Source organism: Homo sapiens, chromosome 4 (genome assembly GCF_000001405.40).
Source record: "Homo sapiens chromosome 4, GRCh38.p14 Primary Assembly".
NCBI lineage: Eukaryota > Metazoa > Chordata > Mammalia > Primates > Hominidae > Homo > Homo sapiens.
Window position 1 is genome coordinate 53,189,935 of NC_000004.12, and position 19,162 is coordinate 53,209,096.

At 36.5% G+C, this 19,162-nt stretch overlaps 1 protein-coding gene across 8 annotated transcripts in view, besides 1 other annotated feature; it reads right to left on the reverse strand.

Moving 5' to 3' along the window:
* The window catches only part of SCFD2 (sec1 family domain containing 2), a 493,080-nt gene that overhangs the window by 316,953 nt on the left and 156,965 nt on the right, over positions 1-19,162 (reverse strand). The window contains exon 5 of one of the 8 annotated variants that reach the window (XM_011534378.4): positions 16,989-17,128. The exons of the other annotated variants lie outside the window; for them this stretch is intronic. Coding sequence (XP_011532680.1) covers positions 17,084-17,128 — 45 coding nt within the window. The 3' untranslated portion in view covers positions 16,989-17,083. Of the gene's footprint in view, positions 1-16,988; positions 17,129-19,162 lie in introns of those variants that run through there. 8 annotated transcript variants of the gene reach the window in all.
* Positions 5,373-9,179: an enhancer, noted in NCBI's record as "VISTA enhancer hs1460". NCBI's record gives its function as "enhancer in: branchial arch[3/7]" and the evidence as "EXISTENCE:transgenic organism evidence [ECO:0001131][PMID:17130149]".

Here is a 19,162-nt window from a genome sequence, read left to right on the forward strand (position 1 = left end):
AAATGAATACGTGAATTAACTAATCTTTTGGGACTTATTTTCAATACAAACTAAACAATAACATGAATGCTATAATAAAGATATCAGTAACATGATATGAAAATACACAGAAAGGTCTAACTCTATATTGGAAACCAGATAATCTGGAGTCACATTCCAATATTTAACTGATCTGAATCCCTCCTGAAACAGTCAATGTATCTCCTCATCTTCTCCTTAGCCTTATCTTCAACAGGCACAAAATACTTTAATAATGAAAAATAATCCCCAATCACTGGCATCTTCTACTTGACTACTGAGAAACAGCTCTGAAACTGTAGCATAGACAGATGTTGGCGTGTGTGTTTTGTGTATGTGTCCTTATCATGGTCTACAAGGCCCTACAGGCTCTGTTTGACCTCGGCTGTTCTCCTTGCCTGCTGTGCTCCAGCCACATGGGCATCCTTGCTCTTTGAAAACACCTGGCACTTCTCATCTCGGGACCTTTGTTTTTGCTATAACCTCTGCCAATAGATGATACAAGTGGCTATTCCTTTTCAGGTGTTTGTCCAAATGTCACCTTCTTAGTGAGGCCTTCTTGACCCTCCTTTTTACAATTGCAAACTACTCCACCTCTAATACTTCCTATTCCATGGCATTTATCCACGGCATTATACTTTCTAATATATGATTCACTTATTTATTTTCTTCATCGTCTATCTGTCTTCCCATACTAAAAGATAAACTCCATGAAGGCAGAGATTTCAGTCTGTTTTTTGTTCTCTGTTGAATCCTCAATGCCAAGGAAATAATAGATGCTGAATAAATGAACGAAGAAATATAACACAAGAGAACTACAACTAAATCATGAAGTGCTCTGATTCAAATTAAATATGAAGATTTTCCAATCAAATAAACTACAGAAGGTTATGTCTGTGAACTCCTTCAGAAGTTAAAACTAGAGAATTCCTATAAATATATTTAAAACCATAATCACTATAAAATATTCCCTTATATTACAGAAGTTAAGACATAAAAATTATTTAAGAAATGAAATGTGTTATCACAAAAAACTACACCAATAACCAGAAAGTATAAGGGTTGCATTTACTTTGCTTTAGATCTAAAACAGTATTAAATATAAAATTTGAGGGCAGAGTGCTGTGGCTCACGCCTGTAATCCCAGCACTTTGGGAGGCTGAGGAGGGCAGGTCACTTGAGGTCAGGAGTTCAAGACGAGCCTGGCCAACATGGTGAAACCCCCATCTCTACTAAAAATACGAAAAATTAGCTGGGCCTGGTGGCAGGTGGCTGTAATCCCAGCTACTTGGGAGGCAGCTGAGATCGTGCCACTGTACTCCAGCCTGGGCAACAGAGCAAGACTCTATCTCAAAAAATAAGAAATAAATAAACAAACGAACATAACATTTGAGTGATATTCATTAGCAAAAAAATCAAGTGTGAAAATATTCATAAATTATGGTTATATGGGTTTTGTTTTTTGTTTTTTTGAGATAGAGTCTCACTCTATCACCCAGGCTGGAGTGCAGTGGCACGATCTCCGCTCACTGCAACCTCTGCCACCCCGGTTCCAGTGATTCTCCTGCCTCAGCCTCCCGAGTAGCTGGGATTACAGGTGCATGCCACCGTGCCCAGCTAATTTTTGTATTTTTAGTAGAGAAGGGGTTTCACCATCTTGGCCAGGCTGGTCTTAAACTCCTGGCCTCGTGATCCACCTGCCTCGGCCTCCCAAAGTGCTGGGATTATAGGCGTGAGCCACCGCGCCTGGCTGGTTATATGTTCTCTTACAGAAATTAAATAAGTAACTGTCATAGAAAACAATAGGAACACACTTTGTGACTGCAAAAAGGTTTGTCTATTGGAAAAACAGAAAGCACCAATTAGAAAGGGGCTTCCTGGATGCAAAAAGTCCCACTTCTACTGCTTGTAACAGTCCCTGTCCCTGGAGCACTCTTTTCCTGATTTCCTTTCCAGTAGAGACCACTCTAGGTAAATGGAAAGATAAGTTTAGCCCTGGCTGTCCCCACATGCCTTAACAGGGGAACAGTAATATTAACATTTAATGTCAGGAATCCCCAGCTCTGGACTCTGGGAGTCAAATGTTTTGTTTAGCAAAAAGAGTGTCTTGAAAATTAACAAATTTCCCATTACAAATTCAAACTGCTGACTTCTCTTAAAAATCTGCAACTTTAAGCAACACCGAAGTTGAACTGCTTAATAAAAAGAGGAACTAAAGAGTAGTTGCCCCTTGACACTAGGCACCTGTTTTCAGGTTCACCACTGTCCCCACGACTCCCTATTGTCTTACATCTTGTTTCTACTGCCTGCCTGGCCAGGGAAGGGTTGAAAGTCCTGCTGTATATAGTCTAGTACCTTTCCTTATCGTTTGTAAGCATGAACCCTTAACTCCCTGCATTCTGTTGTTTGATTCATTAAACTCTTAACTCCTTCTGCCGTAGATTTAAATCCTACTGCAGAGTAACATGAAATCAAGGTCAGAATCAAATTTTCTAGGGGAAACTGAGTGAGGGGTATATAGGAACTCTCTGTACTATCTGTGCAACTTTTCTGTAAACATAAACTACTGTATTCTAAATAAAATGTTTATTTAAAAAATCAGAGGGGAAAGCATGAACTATTCAATAAATGGCAACGATACAAAAGAAAACCCCACGAATTGCCATTCTTGACCCACTCAATGTATGACTGCGTGCAAGTCACTCATCCTCTCTTATCTACAAAATGGGGATGGTAATTCCTCCTCTGCCTTACTCACAGTTTTGCTGTGATGATTAAATGGGATAACAGATGTAAAAGGTCATGGAAGAGCTGTCACTGTATAGTAAATGCTAATCTTACTATAGTAAGTGTACTAATAGGATATTAGTAATATATAATAAATGTGCTAATAGGATAGCACATTTAAAAATATTACAAAACAACAGCATCTTATAAGAATCTTTAAGGATGTTACACCAAGAAGGTTTGATTATCTATACATGGTTAATGGCACAAAAGAAATTATGAAGCCTAAGATTACATACTCAGGAAATATAAAAATATACAAATTAAAAACAACCTCCTTATTGTAAACGAGTTGTAAGCATAAATTACATCTAACTTGTCAGACTGCTAAACTGAGAAATGGCTAAATTTCCTGAAAACTAAGGATAACTTTAAGGTCAGCCAAATAAAGTTTTCAGGAATAATATATATGACCAAAACAAGTCTATCCAGGAATGACAATGTTAAGAAGTGAACAAAATTCATCTGTAAAGGAAACTAAGACAAATGTTGATATTAAAATGTATGTAATGAACTAAGATTACCACTACCTCCAAGGAGAATGTAACAGGATTTCTTAAGTGGTTAGTCAGCTTTAGGATTCCAGACAGTCAAGGTTGCTGTGATTATCTGTTTCAAAGAAACAGGTCTACAGAATACAAGTATATTCTGGTAACAGTAACCAAAAGACAAAAAATAATTTAAGAAGTACTTGAGGCATCGTGTCACTACATCCATCACTTAAATCTATGGACTTCAGTAATTTGCTATTGAAAATTAATCAAAATGGTCCACAGGTCATTGGTCAGGTTTATTCAGTCATCAAAAAACCTCGCCTAATTAACCAAATAGATTATGAAAAATGTCTTCTCTGGAAACCTTCACCTTACCAACAAAGGGAACTTTTGAGACTAAACAAAGCCAAGAGCAGTTACTTATATGCCAAATTAAGACCTCTGTTTAAGGGGGAAAAGAAAAGTACAATGGAGTACATGAAGAAATATTTTTCTTGCCTTTTTAAAAATATAGAACTTTGAGTACTTTTTGTTTCTATCACCGTTGTTTTTAAAATATTTTATTCTTATCAAAGTAAAATATAAGCATGGTTCATAAGATTCTATTCAAATAGGACAGAATAATTTACAATGAAAAGCAGCAGCCTCCTACCTCACCCCTTCCCAAGTCTGCGCCTACTTCTCAGAGAAAATCACTTTGGGTTGATTTTTGGTTTGGGTTACTCTGGCGATCAGCATCAAGTCATAAAATAGAGTGCTATAATTACACCACTTCTTTTAAAAATCACTTTTTTAGCACTTTCTATTGGCTTCCTACTATGATGGATTAGAATTTAGCTTGCTTGCATCCCCACCCTACACATACAACCAACATATACACAGACAACGTACATTTATATAACACCTTTGGTTTCTCTATTGATTACCTTCTTCATTTAAAATACTATAGTTACACTTTTGTCTCTTCTTCCATCAACTATAGAGCATCCTTTTTGTCTCGTGTGTAAACATACTAACGAATGCAGTTTTCTTTTCCTTTTCACTCCTCCTGTCACTACTACTACCACTATGTTAGCTTATACCTCTGAGATTCTCTTTCTTTTGGTCAATGCTTATTCCAATTATGTAAAGAAAAAACTCACTATTATCTATTAAAACCTTTTTAGAACCTATAATTATATAAGTTATTGCTAGCAGTACATTTGTGCCTCACTTTTGAAGACTATTATTCACTATGAAAATCCACTCTAGTAACACATATATTCTTTTCTTCATATTACGGATGAACATAGATCAAATTTCTTAAAGAACTAAGTTTTACTCAGCCAAAGAAGTACCAGTAGTTTCAATTTATTGTTGAAACTAGAGGCTTTCCATAGTAGAAATCCATCATTAGAAAATAACACAGATTTAGGATAACTTAATGATTTGAAGGAAATCATAGACTAGCTGAGATGAACACAAACCATCTTTTATCTTAATCCTTCTCTACAGAGTATCAGCCTCCTAAACCAAAGATTTCTTTTCATCACTACCTGATGACCTCTGGCACAAATCACCCTATATCCCTTCTGTCTCCAACCCAGTACACACGAGCGACACTCTGTCTCAAAAAATTTAAAAAAAGATTTTATTTTCTCGTTTAGAGCCACACATTTGAGCATCATGGCTGTAGGTACAGATACAGCTGCTGATAAAAAGTCAATGGATTTGAACTGGACAGATTGGACATTAACAGGATTATAGGTTACAGATGTCATGTAAAAACCCCAAGTGGCTTTAAAAACAGAAAAGTCAGTATGTATCATGTAGTGGTAAAGCAGGCTAAGAGAATGGGCTCTACAGTCAGAATGGCTGGTTACAAGGACCGGCTCTGCCACGGCCAGTAGTGTGACTTGAGCATGTTACTCAAGCCTCTGTATCCCAGCTTCGTCAATTTAAAAATCGAGTGCTGTAAGGATTAAAAATAATGGTATATGTAAAGAACTTAACATTGGCATGGCATATAAGAACTTAACAAGTGAGATCCACTAAAATTATTAGGAGTAGTAGTAGTAATAGTATGTTATCGGTCAGAGACAACTTCCCCGATTTTTTTATGTTGGACCTAATCACATCTTTCACTTCTGCACATCTGGTGAAGTCAAATAAATGACTTTCCTTTTCAGAAACCTGCCTTTACCTCTAATTGTAGTCAAGGCAAATAGTCCTGATAGGCAAATAGCCCCCAGGTGACCCTTCTGGTCTGGGCTCACTGAGATATTAACCCCACATTCCTACGGATCCTGGTTTCACATTGTGTCCTTCAAATGCTTTCACCATGCCACTTCTCATAGTCAGCCCCAGTTTTTAAGGTGCATTTAAAATAAGCTTACATTTGGAACCAGCTAAGAATGCTAAAAACAGATGTGCTACTTTCCAGACAGACTGAAGAAATCGTACGAACAACTGATTCAGTACTACCTGGATTGTGACTAAAACCTATCAAATTATAGCTCCTGATAACAAGCCTGAAGAAAAAAGTTAATTTAGTGATAGTGCCCTGTTATTACACATTTAGGGCAAAGAAAAGTACATTTCTATGGCAATTTCCAAGATATTAAAAATGAGATAAAACCAGATGAGAGAAAAACAGAAATCTAGCTCAAGACTTAACATCACCATATGTGAAATATCAAATAAATAGCTACTCTAATCTCAAATGGTAATCTTTCCTTTCAGCCTTTCTCATTTTATTGGACCAAATATTTCAAGCCTCATCTGTGTTCTATTACAATCCTAAAGACAACATGATATCTAGGATAGTGTTTATATATAAAAATAATTTTAGATCAGGAGGTGACAGAAACTGATGTCCAGATTCCATTACCCTAAGACTTCATGTAATTACTTTGTCTTTTTAAAAATCCTTAAATGATCATTTTCTCCTTTGGCACAGAGTCTTTTGACTCCTCTTTTGATGCCAACATAGTCTCATCATGAAAATAAATTGAAAGTAGGTGGTCTGGTTAGTCTTCACAATGCTACATTTTAATCAGGCAAAGCAGTGAAAAACATGATTGTCGAAATGCTGGCGTGTCTTCAAACAACAGTGTATGCTGTCCATTTTACTCTCAGTGAAAAAGCTCTTCAAGAGATTTCGATAAAGGTTTCCTTCCTACTTGCAGTCCACATTTGTAATGTTTATATAAGTGGAGGATATAAATCTTTCTCCAATGAACCCCATGGTTTTTAAAGCAGATTCTTGTTATAAACTGCCTGTTTCCGTTTTGCCTGCCTAAGCAAGCCAGGCAAAGACCATTCGCGAGAGACTGGAACTAATTTAATGTGCTCCAGGTTTAAGCCCCTAGCCTCTGCGCCTTTGCAGGGAGATTTTACACAGTGGATTACTGCTGACTTTAACAATGATTCATATGATAAGTGGCTTTTGATTTGTTTTTTAATGTCAGAAAATATGCATTGGCAAAAGAAATGTCATTGAAATCATTTCGTTAAAGCAATATCCATAAAAAGGGGTGGGGGAAGGAGAATTCAACTTTTCATCAAAAAAAAAAAAGTCTAAATCATGCCAATGTCTTGTTCACATAAATTTATAGTTTTACTCAATGCAAAAGAATACAAAGCTATTTAGAGACAGCTAGATTTAAGACTGGATGAACTGCAAGATAGGATTGGTTGAATCGATATACTTTACCACAAAATTGGTTATTATTATTAAAATACCAAAGCCACACGGAAGATAGACAAAAGCATCATTCTTTATCCAGCCTCAAAGACACCCTGTGTGCTTTTTTCAAAGATTCACAATTCCTTGAAACCAACACTAATTAAAACAGAAACACATTCACAAAACCCGGAGTAAGATCCATCATCCCAAAGCATGGCGGGGGAGGAAAATTTCCTCTGTTTAACTCAAAGGAACAGAGCAGCAACAACATTAATTCAAAAGAAAACAAACTGAGAAACAAAAGTATGTATTATACTATTATTCTAGAGTTCTGCATTTAAGAGGCCTGAACTGTTCATCAAAACATACTTTCAAAATGCCAAATGTAATAAGATATGCTTGTCCCCAATCATCTGTTAGTTTCTTCTGGTTTTTCTTGAAGTTCCTTTGAAAGGATTATCCAAAGTCTTACAGTAGGGGGCAGTATTGTAACATCATGCTCACACTTAAAAGGACTCCAGGTCAGCCCAAAAGAGGAAAAAGGGCCATTATTCATAAAGACTTAACTATGTTGGCATAATTACAGAAATTATTACAAAATTTCAGATTTTTTCCCCAAAGCCTAACCTGCTTTCTTACCACCTACCTATAATATTAAGATGTCTTAAACAATAGAAAAAGCAAATGCTTTTTATTGAAAAAGTCTGTCCAACAATCTGATACATGCTGATTGCTGTTTAGCAGTGAAAGAACTATTTATTGAATGTCATATTTCAAAAGCATGAAGACTTCTCCAATTGCAAATATCCAGATGTTCTTTATTGTAAATATGACATTAGAAGATGGCAAAAAAAAAAAAAAAAAAAAGAAATGAATATTTCATCTTGCTCTAAAATGAAATGCAGAGCTGGTTTATAAACACAAGTCAATGTAACCTATGCTAATGAGATGTTAATTTCAAAAATATGGGGTAAAAAAATATTTACAAGTATAAGAATGTCTTCATATTTTCCAGGAATAAACCTTTTCTTTCCATCTGTCTAGGATGGCTCTTGGCTGGCCTGCTAGGAAATATGGAAACTGAAACTATTTGTACTTAATGCTTGGCTTCCAATGACTTAACAAAATTCTGGGAGTTTGCGGACAGGAAAATGCAAAGTCCTCACCATGTCCCAAGATAAAACATATAGATATATAATGGCAATTTTTTTCCATGCATAATGGTGATCCATATGGATTTCTCTTAATTCTGGAAATACGAGTGATTGCAGCTTTTATTTAATAATTGAAAGCCTTAAGGTCACTAAACAAAACAATAATTACTGTATTTGACTTTAAAAGAATCAAACCTCCTATCATCTTAGGCAAGTACTGTTGTTTATCTTCATCTTCAATTTCAACTCAAATTGAGTTGCTTGTTTTCTGCCTGCTGGCTTTAAGGGGACGGGCTGTTATAAATTCAAACAGGATTTTTTTAAATCTAATAATTTCAACTAAAAAATTATATTAAAAGTATTATTTTATAGACACATAATCTAATATTTTAAATGTAAAAAAAGAGATCCTAAGAATACTAAAACCTATGAAATATCATATGAAGCCAGCAATTATTGTAATCATGTTTAAATGCTATAAATTTTCAGTTTCAGTACTTCAAGTTATAGTTTATTCTAGTCTTATTATTATACATTATACTCTCTCTACTTGTCCATTTTTGTTTAAGTTGTTTTGGAGTTGGGGATGTTTTGGTTTTATGCTGTGTGAGTGAATGTGTGTGTGTGTGCATGTGTGTATACATGTGTTCATTTAAAGATCCTATAAGAACCCTCATATGTATACTTCTTGGAGAATATGGACTGCTCCTATGCTTTATCACCCAGGTTTTCTCAACTGTTGTGATAGGTTCCTTTTCAAGACTTAACAGAAAAACTGTGCCTATAATTACCATCAAATTTCCCTCAAATTGAGCTAAACAGCATACATTTGAGTTGCCAAATGGGACATAATTCTTCATAATTACCGTCCAAAAGAGCTTGTGACAGTTACAACAAAGTAATTCACTAATGGAAGAGCACCAGGTATGCATTTTCCTGAAACATCTGTTTGAAATGCTGGGTCATTTGAAGAGTATGTAAAATGCTCCCATCTTCTAATTAGTTTCTCACCAACCAAAATATCACTGCCAAACTTAACTAGTTTGAGGGGCCAAGGTTCTTCTGTAGCAAAGCCAATATAACCACTCAGTCCCTCTAAAGGCAAGCACTTGTTTCATCTCTGAGTGATGGCATTTGTGATGGAAAAGAAGGCAGCATTTCCTTCTAATAATAACATTTTTCCTTATTATTTCATTTCTCCATCATCTGTAGTCAGAAAGCACCCTGACATACTACATAAAATGCTTGCTTATTTTCTTGCTTCTCTCCCTTCTTTATCTATCTGATCGAATGAGAGGGGAGATGATTACAAACAACAGAGTATGAACTTTGGGTTGTGTAGTATAAGAAGAAATACATTTGGTTTTTGTTTCTGGTTCCTGGCAAAGAGCACCAAAAACCTTTAGAATTTCCTGAGTGATAAGAGTATCATTGTTTATTCATAACTAGCTCTTTTTGATTCATAACTAGCTGACTTTATGTTAATAAGGTAACTTAGGGTAGGATCCCTAGATAGCCTCAGGATGGGGCTGGTCATCAGAAAGATCAAGTAATTAGAGGGTTGAAGGGGGTGGGACTTCAGATTGAGCTCTACAAAAACTCCTTAGCAGCAAGACTTGATGAACTTCCCAGCTGGCGAACACATCAACAACATGCTGGAAAGGTGGAATGACCAGAAAGGGCATGGAAGCTACCTGTCCCCGTACAAAATAAGTAGCACTGGGTAGCTTAAACAAGAGAAATCTATTTTCTCAGTTTTAGAAGCTGGAAGTTTGACATCAGGGTGTCAGTATGACCAGGTTCTGGTAAGGGCTCTCTTCCTGCTTGCAGATGGCTTTTTTCATGTGTATTCACATGGCAGAGAGAAGGAGGGAGGCGGGAAGAAGAGCAAGAGAGAGTGAGAGTGAGAGCAAGAGAGGGAGAGAGAGAGAGAATGCAAGTTCTCTTGTGTCTCTTTTAATAAAGGCATTAATCCTATCAGAAGGTCCCACCCTCATGACCTCATGTAAATCTAATTATGTCCCAAAGGCCTCATCTCTAATTACTATCACAATCACATTGGAGGTTAGGACTTCAGCATACGGGTTTTGGCAGAACACAATTCAGTCTATAGCACTGAGGTCATTGGCCAAAATCAGATATACAGCTTGCACTCATGTAATAATCCTTCTTCCTAGGAGTGAGTGATTATTCTGCACCTGATCCTTTAAACCAGGATATAAGAAACAGAGTCATTGCAATAGAAGTTTGTCTTAAACAACAGCCTCTCCTATTCTTTTTCCCATCCCTCTACCTCCAAACTCACCACCACCACCACCAACTAAACCCACTGTAGAATATAAGTAGCACTATGAAAGTGAATCTCCAAAAACTTTGAACTATTAAAGTAGATTTCAAATGAAAAAAATTGCCATAGTATCCTGATACAATCAGATTTGAAAGGAAAATATAAGCACTGTCTCTACAACTAATTACAGAGTTTTTCCTCTACTTAAGGTAAAAGCAATAATCTGTTTCTGGAAAGAACACTGGGCTTCCTGTTTGAAAAGTCAGAAGATAGGACAAGCGCTTGTCTCGTAACTGAAAAAACTTTTCCTCTATGAGGTAGACTATCTGGTTTAGAAAAAAAATGTGTTCAAATTAAATCCTGACTATTTATTGCTGAAGGATAAATGTAGACTAAAGTACATTCTGTCTTAATGGCATGAATTTAGCCTACATTGTGACCTGTGTAGCTTCTAGAAGACTCAACCTCATGACACATATACACATGCATTCAATGGATTCAGTTCAGTCATTCATCTCTATGCACATTAAATTTTTCACTAATTCATCAGAAATGTATAAATCCATTCTAAAAATCAAAAGTTTAAAAGTTCAGCAAAGTTCAAGTATTTCATGGAGAATAAGGTTGATATGATTTATAATACAAATATTAATTTTATTTTAATTTAATTTAATTTTTTAAAAAATTTTATTATTATTATACTTTAAGTTTTAGGGCACACGTACATAGCGTGCAGGTTTCTTACATATGTATACATGTGCCATGTTGGTGTGCTGCACCCATTAATTCGTCATTTAGCATTAGGTATAGCTCCTAATGCTATCCCTCCCTCCTCCCCCCACCCCACAACAGGCCCCAGTGTGTGATGTTCCCCTTCCTGTGTCCACGTGTTCTCATTGTTCAATTCCCACCTATGAGTGAGAACATGAGGTGTTTGGTTTTTTCTCCTTGCCATAGTTTGCTGAGAATGGTGGTTTCCAGCTTCATCCATGTCCCTACAAAGGACATGAACTCATCCTTTTTTATGGCTCCATAGTATTCCATGGTGTATATGTGCCACATTTTCTTAATCCAGTCTATCATTGTTGGACATTTGGGATGGTTTCAAGTCTTTGCTATTGTGAACAGTGCCTCAATAAACATACATGTGCATGTGTCTTTATAGCAGCATGATTTATAATCCTTTGGGTAAATACCCAGTAATGGGATGGCTGGGTCAAATGGTATTTCTAGTTCTAGATCCCTGAGGAATCGCCACACTGACTTCCACAATGGTTGAACTAGTTTACAGTCCCACCAACAGTGTAAAAGTGTTCCTATTTCTCCACATCCTCTCCAGCACCTGTTGTTTCCTGACTTTTTGATGATTGCCATTCTAACTGGTGGGAGATGGTATCTCATTGTGGTTTTGATTTGCATTTCTCTGATGGCCAGTGATGATGAGCATTTTTTCATGTGTTTTTTGGCTACATAAATGTCTTCTTCTGAGAAGTGTCTGTTCATATCCTTGGCCCACTTTTTGATGGGGTTGTTTGATTTTTTCTTGTAAATTTGTTTGAGTTCATTGTAGATTCTGGATATTAGCCCTTTGTCAGATGAGTAGGTTGCAAAAATTTTCTCCCATTCTGAAGGTTGCCTGTTCACTCTGATGGTAGTTTCTTCTGCTGTGCAGAAGCTCTTTAGTTTAATTAGATCCCATTTCTCAATTTTGGCTTCTGTTGCCATTGCTTTTGGTGTTTTAGACATGAAGTCCTTGCCCATGCCTATGTCCTGAATGGTATTGCCTAGGTTTTCTTCTAGGGTTTTTATGGTTTTAGGTCTAACATGTAAGTCTTTAATCCATCTTGAATTAATTTTTGTATAAGGTGTAAGGAAGGGATCCAGTTTCAGCTCTCTACATATGGCCAGCCAGTTTTCCCAGCACCATTTATTTAATAGGGAATCCTTTCCCCATTGCTTGTTTTTCTCAGGTTTGTCAAAGATCAGATAGCTGTAGATACGTGGCATTATTTCTGAGGGCTCTGTTCTGTTCCATTGGTCTATATCTCTGTTTTGGTACCAGTACCATGCTGTTTTGTTTACTGTAGCCTTGTAGTATAGTTTGAAGTCAGGTAGCATGATGCCTCCAGCTTTGTTCTTTTGGCTTAGGATTGACTTGGCAATGCAGGCTCTTTTTTGGTTCCATATGAACTTTAAAGTAGTTTTTTCCAATTCTGTGTAGAAAGTCATTGGTAGCTAGATGGGGATGGCATTGAATCTGTAAATTACCTTGGGCAGTATGGCCATTTTCACGATATTGATTCCTCCTACCCATGAGCATGGAATGTACTTCCATTTGTTTGTATCCTCTTTTATTTCATTGAGCAGTGGTTTGTAGTTCTCCTTAAAGAGGTCCTTCACATCCCTTGTAAGTTGGATTCCTAGGTATTTTATTCTCTTTGAAGCAATTGTGAATGGGAGTTCACTCATGATTTGGCTCTCTGTTTGTCTGTTATTGGTGTATAAGAATGCTTGTGATTTTTGCACATTGATTTTGTATCCTGAGACTTTGCTGAAGTTGCCTATCAGCTGAAGGAGATTTTGGGCTGAGACAATGGGGTTATCTAGATATACAATCATGTCATCTGCAAACAGGGGCAATTTGACTTCCTCTTTTCCTAATTGAATGCCCTTTATTTCCTTCTCCTGCCTGATTGCCCTGGCCAGAACTTCCAACACTACGTTGAATAGGAGTGGTGAGGGAGGGCATCCCTGTCTTGTGCCAGTTTTCAAAGGGAATGCTTCCAGTTTTCGTTCATTCAGCATGATATTGGCTGTGGGTGTGTCATAGATAGCTCTTATTATTTTGAGATACATCCCATCAATACCTAATTTATTGAGAGATTTTAGCCTGAAGGGTTGTTGAATTTTGTCAAAGGCCTTTTCTGCATCTATTGAGATAATCATGTGGTTTTTGTCTTTGGTTCTGTTTATATGCTGACAAACATGAATTTTAAAAAGAGAAGGCATAATCAGATTTTTTTTAGCTTGTATTTGATTCTAGTTAGATCATGAGGCATAACTAAAGATCTGTAAGTTGGATTTTCAATTTTCGATCAAAGAAAGAAAGATCAAATGAAACATAGAAAAATAAATACACTCCCTCAAAAAACCCTACTAAATTACTTAAAAAGAAAAACAAAAAAAAGTTTTGTTGTTTTTTTATACATTAATAAACCCACAAATGCAAAAAAATAAAATAAACTTGAAGGAGATAGCAATAGCATTTTAGGAGCTTGAAAGCCAATGAATAAGGTTAAAGGACTTATGAAAGTCAAGTCAAAAAAGCCAAATCCCAACTGGTGGAAGAGGTGAGAAACAAACCTACTTATACTATAGAATCCTTGAAAGGCTCAGGAAATGGCAGCAAGTGTTTATTCTAAAATTGGGAGGGAATTGGGTAAATTAATAACACATGGGATAAAATTCTTCAAGAAGTAGTTGGATCCCTAAATGTCCCCACCAACACTCCATCCAGATCACTCAGCAGGAGGTTTCGTATCTGGAGAGAGTAAAATCACATTTTGGTCTAGGAATTAATTGGCAAAACTTGAGAATTATTAACTGAATGTACACCAAAAGCTGATTGCTGACACTACGTACCCTTTCTTCTATGTGTCTCCCAGAAGATGCATCCAGATCTTTTCTATTCCATGTAGGAAACTGGAAAGGTACTCTTTGTGGGAATATGTCTATTTCAAGAAGAAAGATCTAATACTGATTCTGATGGCTCTCCAACAAACCTCATTCTATAGTAAACCTCAAAGCCACAAACCCCCCATAAACTTAGCCTGTTCCATTGGCTTTTTAGATCTCCACTCTTAATCTTTACAACCTGGAACTATCCAATATCTGCAGAAAGTTTCTAACATGGAATATGGAAGATAAAACAACTTTTTTTAAAAAAGCAATTTGGAAAATCCATGCAGGGAAAAGGAAATGTCCAAAAAAAATTACATCCTTGAAAAACTAAGAGAAAATATTGTATCCATAAAAAATAACACTATTTAGAAAAATAATATTTAGAATACAGACATGTACACATATAAACACACAAAGATTGAAATTAAAAATATGAGCAAAAATAAAAATTCAATAAAAAGCTTTGAAGATAAAGTTGAGACTATCTCCCAGAGGAAGAAGAAAAAAAAGAAGACAAAAGAAATAACAAACAAGAGGAAAAAGGTTAAAAAACTTTTTGAATCTTCTCAAAAATAGAACAGGGATTTCAGAAAGGGAAAACAGAGAAAATGGAAAAAGGGAATTTTAAAAAATCAAGAAAATTTTCCAGAGTTGAGGCTGTGTGATTCCATACTGAAAGAGTACCCAGCATACTAGATGAAAACAGACCCACAGCATGGCTCACAATTATGAAATTTGAGAATACTGGTAAGAAGATTAGATCCTATAAGCTTCCATAGTAAGGAAAAACATGTATTACATATATTACAAAGGATTAGGAATCAGAACAGGTTCAGAAATCTCAAAAGCAATGCTGGAAGCAAGAAAACAGTGAAGAAATGCCTTCAAAATTCCCAAAGAAAATTATTTCTAAATTGGAATGGTATATTCAGCCATATTACTAATAGGAAGATAACATACAGGCATTTTCAGCTTTTCAATATATCAAAGGATATATCCCTTTGTCCTTTTTGTCTGGAAATTACTAGACAATGTCCTCTAAAAAACAGGAGGGAAAAAAGTTGTAAGCGAGGAAGATATGGCATGAAGAAAACAGGGGATCCAACACAGGGTAGACGAAAAGGGAATCTGCAGAATGACAGTGAAAAGAACTCTGGATCACAACTGTGCACTACACATATAAGATAAGCAGTCCAGACTGCACCAATGTCCAATTCAGGAGACAAGCACACTGAAAGCTATCATTGCCACTGTCCCATTTACCTCTGTACCACCTTTTTTTACCTGGATGTGCCCCATCAAATAAAGGAAGTAAACCAGGAAGGATAAAAATAAAGAGGTCCAAGAAAAACTGACTCCATCCCAGGAAAAAAGCAAATGAAATGTGAAGAATGACAGCAAAGAAAGATGATGCCTACAATGAGAACTGGAATTCCTAAGATAAAAAGAGAATAGAACAGAGGTTAAAGCAAACAAACAGTAAAAGCAACAACAAACCACAAAACTGCTTGAAACCCTTACACCAACATGATTCATGTTATGAAAAAGTCAAGAACCAAAGATGAAAAAGGCTCTTAAAAGATGGGCAACACTTTGGGAGGCCGAGGTGGGCGGATCACGAGGTCAGGAGATCGCGACCATCCTGGCTAACACGGTGAAACCCCATCTCTACTAAAAAAATACAAAAAAATTAGCTGGGCATGGTGGCAGGTGCCTGTAGTCCCAGCTACTCGGGAGGCTGAGGCAGGAGAATGGCATGAACCCAGGAAGCGGAGCTTGCAGTGAGCCGAGACTGAGCCACTGTACTCCAGCCTGGGCTATTGAGCGAGACTGTCTCAAAAAAAAAAAAAGATGGGCAAAAAGTTAGTAATAGTACAAAATAAGCTTAATAAATTAAAAAAAACACAATTATCAACTCAAAGGAAAAAGTAAATATAATCATAGAACTTTACAACTCTCAGCTGTGAACAGTTTTTGCCTGGGCATTATCAGTACTAATTATTATTACACTAGTCCCCCAAAGTGCAGCAAAAATTTTAGTTAACTTGGTATATTAGCTGTGAGTAATTTTATAGAGTTCAAATTTCACTGTTAGCTTTTTAGTCCACAAATCACTACACAAGTAACAGATGTGCATCTTGGTCAATGACTAATAATGTCACTTCTTTCAAAGTCTGTAGGCAACCAGTTACTGCATATCTCTTATTTGGGTCACACACAGACAGCAAAGTGTGTAGTGCTGTTGCCTCCTTGTCTCCCAATAATAAGCCCATATGACATTTAATTTAAAAAATAAATAACTAAAAGTAGAAATTAGCAAACAGAAGATGAAGATGTTCCAGAGGAAGTGATGCAAGCAAAAAATCTTCACATTAAAGGACCTCTCAGAGATATGCATGACTTTGAATGTACAAAGCTTAAAATGCTGTAAGTTAACCCAAATTTAGAAAGAACTATGACTGTTTACCAAAGCATAGAAAACATGTTTGCTCCATATTGTAAGTTATAGAAGGTGAGAAATCTTCAAACTACTCAAGTTTTTTTAATCGTAAAAACTCCACTGTAATTCTCAATGTTGCCACTGCTTTAAATTACAATATACTAAATAAATACTAATTACCCTATACATGTATCACTGACAGTAATGAGTTTGTAATATTCTGACTAAAATAATTTAATGGTCATGGAACAATTATTATTTTTCATTGGTTATTAAATCACTTTGCATGGCCTCAATTCTGAACAGTCATTTTTACCATCCTACACTACTGTGCAAAGTGAGGATCATATTTGATTTTTAAAGCTATATGCATGAGTTTGCCTGCTAAAAATTAAATTAACAGTGCCTGGTTGTCTTAGTCCATTTTCTGTTGCTATAAGAGAATACAAAGACTAAGTAATTTATAAAGACATGAAGTTTATTTAGCTCACAATTCTGGAGCCTGAGAAGTCCAAGAGCATGGTTCCAGCATCTGGTGAGGGCCTCCTTGCTGCATCATAACATGGTGGCAGGTATGGCATGGCGAGAGGGCATGAGAGCCTGTGCAAAAGAGAGGTACCAGGGCCAGACTCACTTTATAACAACCTACTGTCTAGATAACTAACCTGCTCCCATGATAATACATTAATCCATTAGTGACGGTTTTGCCCTTATGACCCAATTACCTCTTATTAAGCCCCACCTCCCAACAATGATGCATTACGGATTAAGTTTCCAACCTATGAACTTTTGGGGGACACATTCAAACCACAGCACTGACAAAACCTAGGAATGTAATACATTTTTGCTAAAAAAAAAAAAAAAGGATGATGGCAAGAGGGGAGAATTTTTTTTTAAATAGTGCTCACATTTTTCAAACTGCTATACTGACAAAACCAACAATCCTTAGTGTCTGGAAAAGGTCAAACTTGAAAACATCATAAACCAACAAAACATGGCTGAGTAGTTTGAAATATATTATATATATATTTCATATATATATATTATATATATTATATATATAATATTTATATATTATATATATAATATTTATATATAATATATATAATATTTATATATATATAATATATATATAATATTTATATATATATATACAGACCCAAATCTCATGTCAAAATGTAATCCCCAGTGTTGGAGGTGGGGCCTGGTGGGAGGTGATTGAATCATGGGGGCAGATTTCCCCTTTGGTACTGTGAGTGAGTTGTCAGGAGATTTGGTTGTTTAAAAGTTCGTAGCACCTCCTCCTTCTCTCTTCTTCTTTCTCGGGCCATGTGAAAACATGTCTGCTTCCCCTCTGCCTTCCACCATGATTGTAAGTTTCTTGAGGCCTCCCCAGCCATGCTTCCTGTACAGCCAGTGGAACCACCAGCCAATTAAACCTCTTTTCTTTAAAGATTACTCAGTCTCAGGTATTTCTTTTTTCTTTCTTTTCTTTTCTTTTTTTTTTTCCCCCCATACAAAGTCTAGCTCTATCACTAGGCTGGAGTACAGTAGCAAGATTTCAGCTCACTGCAACTTTCACCTCCCAGGCTCAAGCCATCCTCCCACCTCAGCCTCCTGAGTAGCTGGGACTACAGGTGTGCACCAACATGCCCAGCAATTTTTTTCTTTTCTTTTTTTTTCTTTTTATATATATAGAGAGACAGCGTTTGCCATATTTCCCAGTCTGGTCTCAAATTCACGAGCTCATGCAATCCACTTTGGCCTCCCAAAGTCCTGGGCCAGACACGAGCCACCACACCTCGCCAGGTACTTCTTTATAGCAGTGCAAGAACAGACTAATACATTGACATTGAAAACAATAAGCAAGTTTATTGAGCGAAGTAACAATTGAGTAATGCAGGTACATCAACAATGATCTATACATATTTACTAAATAATCCTGTACATGTCACAAACACTTTCCTGCATGTTATCTCTTAATACTCAGAACAATCTGTGACAATGTTATTATAGTTTCTCCTATTTTGTAGAAAAAGACCTCATAGTTCAGCAAAGCTAGGTCCTATCCAAGTTCCCCATAGCTGGGTTTGTGGCAAAGCTGGTGTGCATACCCAATCTCCTGACTCCTAGTCGTGTGTGTTCTATGCTGCACCATGGCAGCAAAGGCTAAGGCAGTGCTCTTACCTCCCAGTCAAAGCCATATACACCTCTCATAATTCCAAAGCAATGGAAGCATATACATTTTCAGAATTAGGCAAAGAAGGAACTAGAAAAATCTTATAAGTTAAATATCTTGTTAAAAGTACGTCTCACATTAAATGATAAATTGATAAACTAAGTGAGCAATGTTACTGTGATTTTTAGCAAAACTAAAAATATTCCAGTGAAAGAGACTAATCTCAAGAAGCTCGGCCCTTTGAAAGTTTGCCTGCCTGCCTTTAGGCAACTAAGGGACTCTTGGCCACAGGAATGTACCCAATATTTGCATTTCTAACAAACCCTAGTTTGAATTCCCTGCTCCTGTGCACAGACTTAGGGTAGAGGATTAAGACAAACCCTCTCAGTTTGCCTGAGTTTGAAGGAGTTACCAGGACTTGGGACATTCAGTGCTAAAACCAGGAAAGTTCCAGG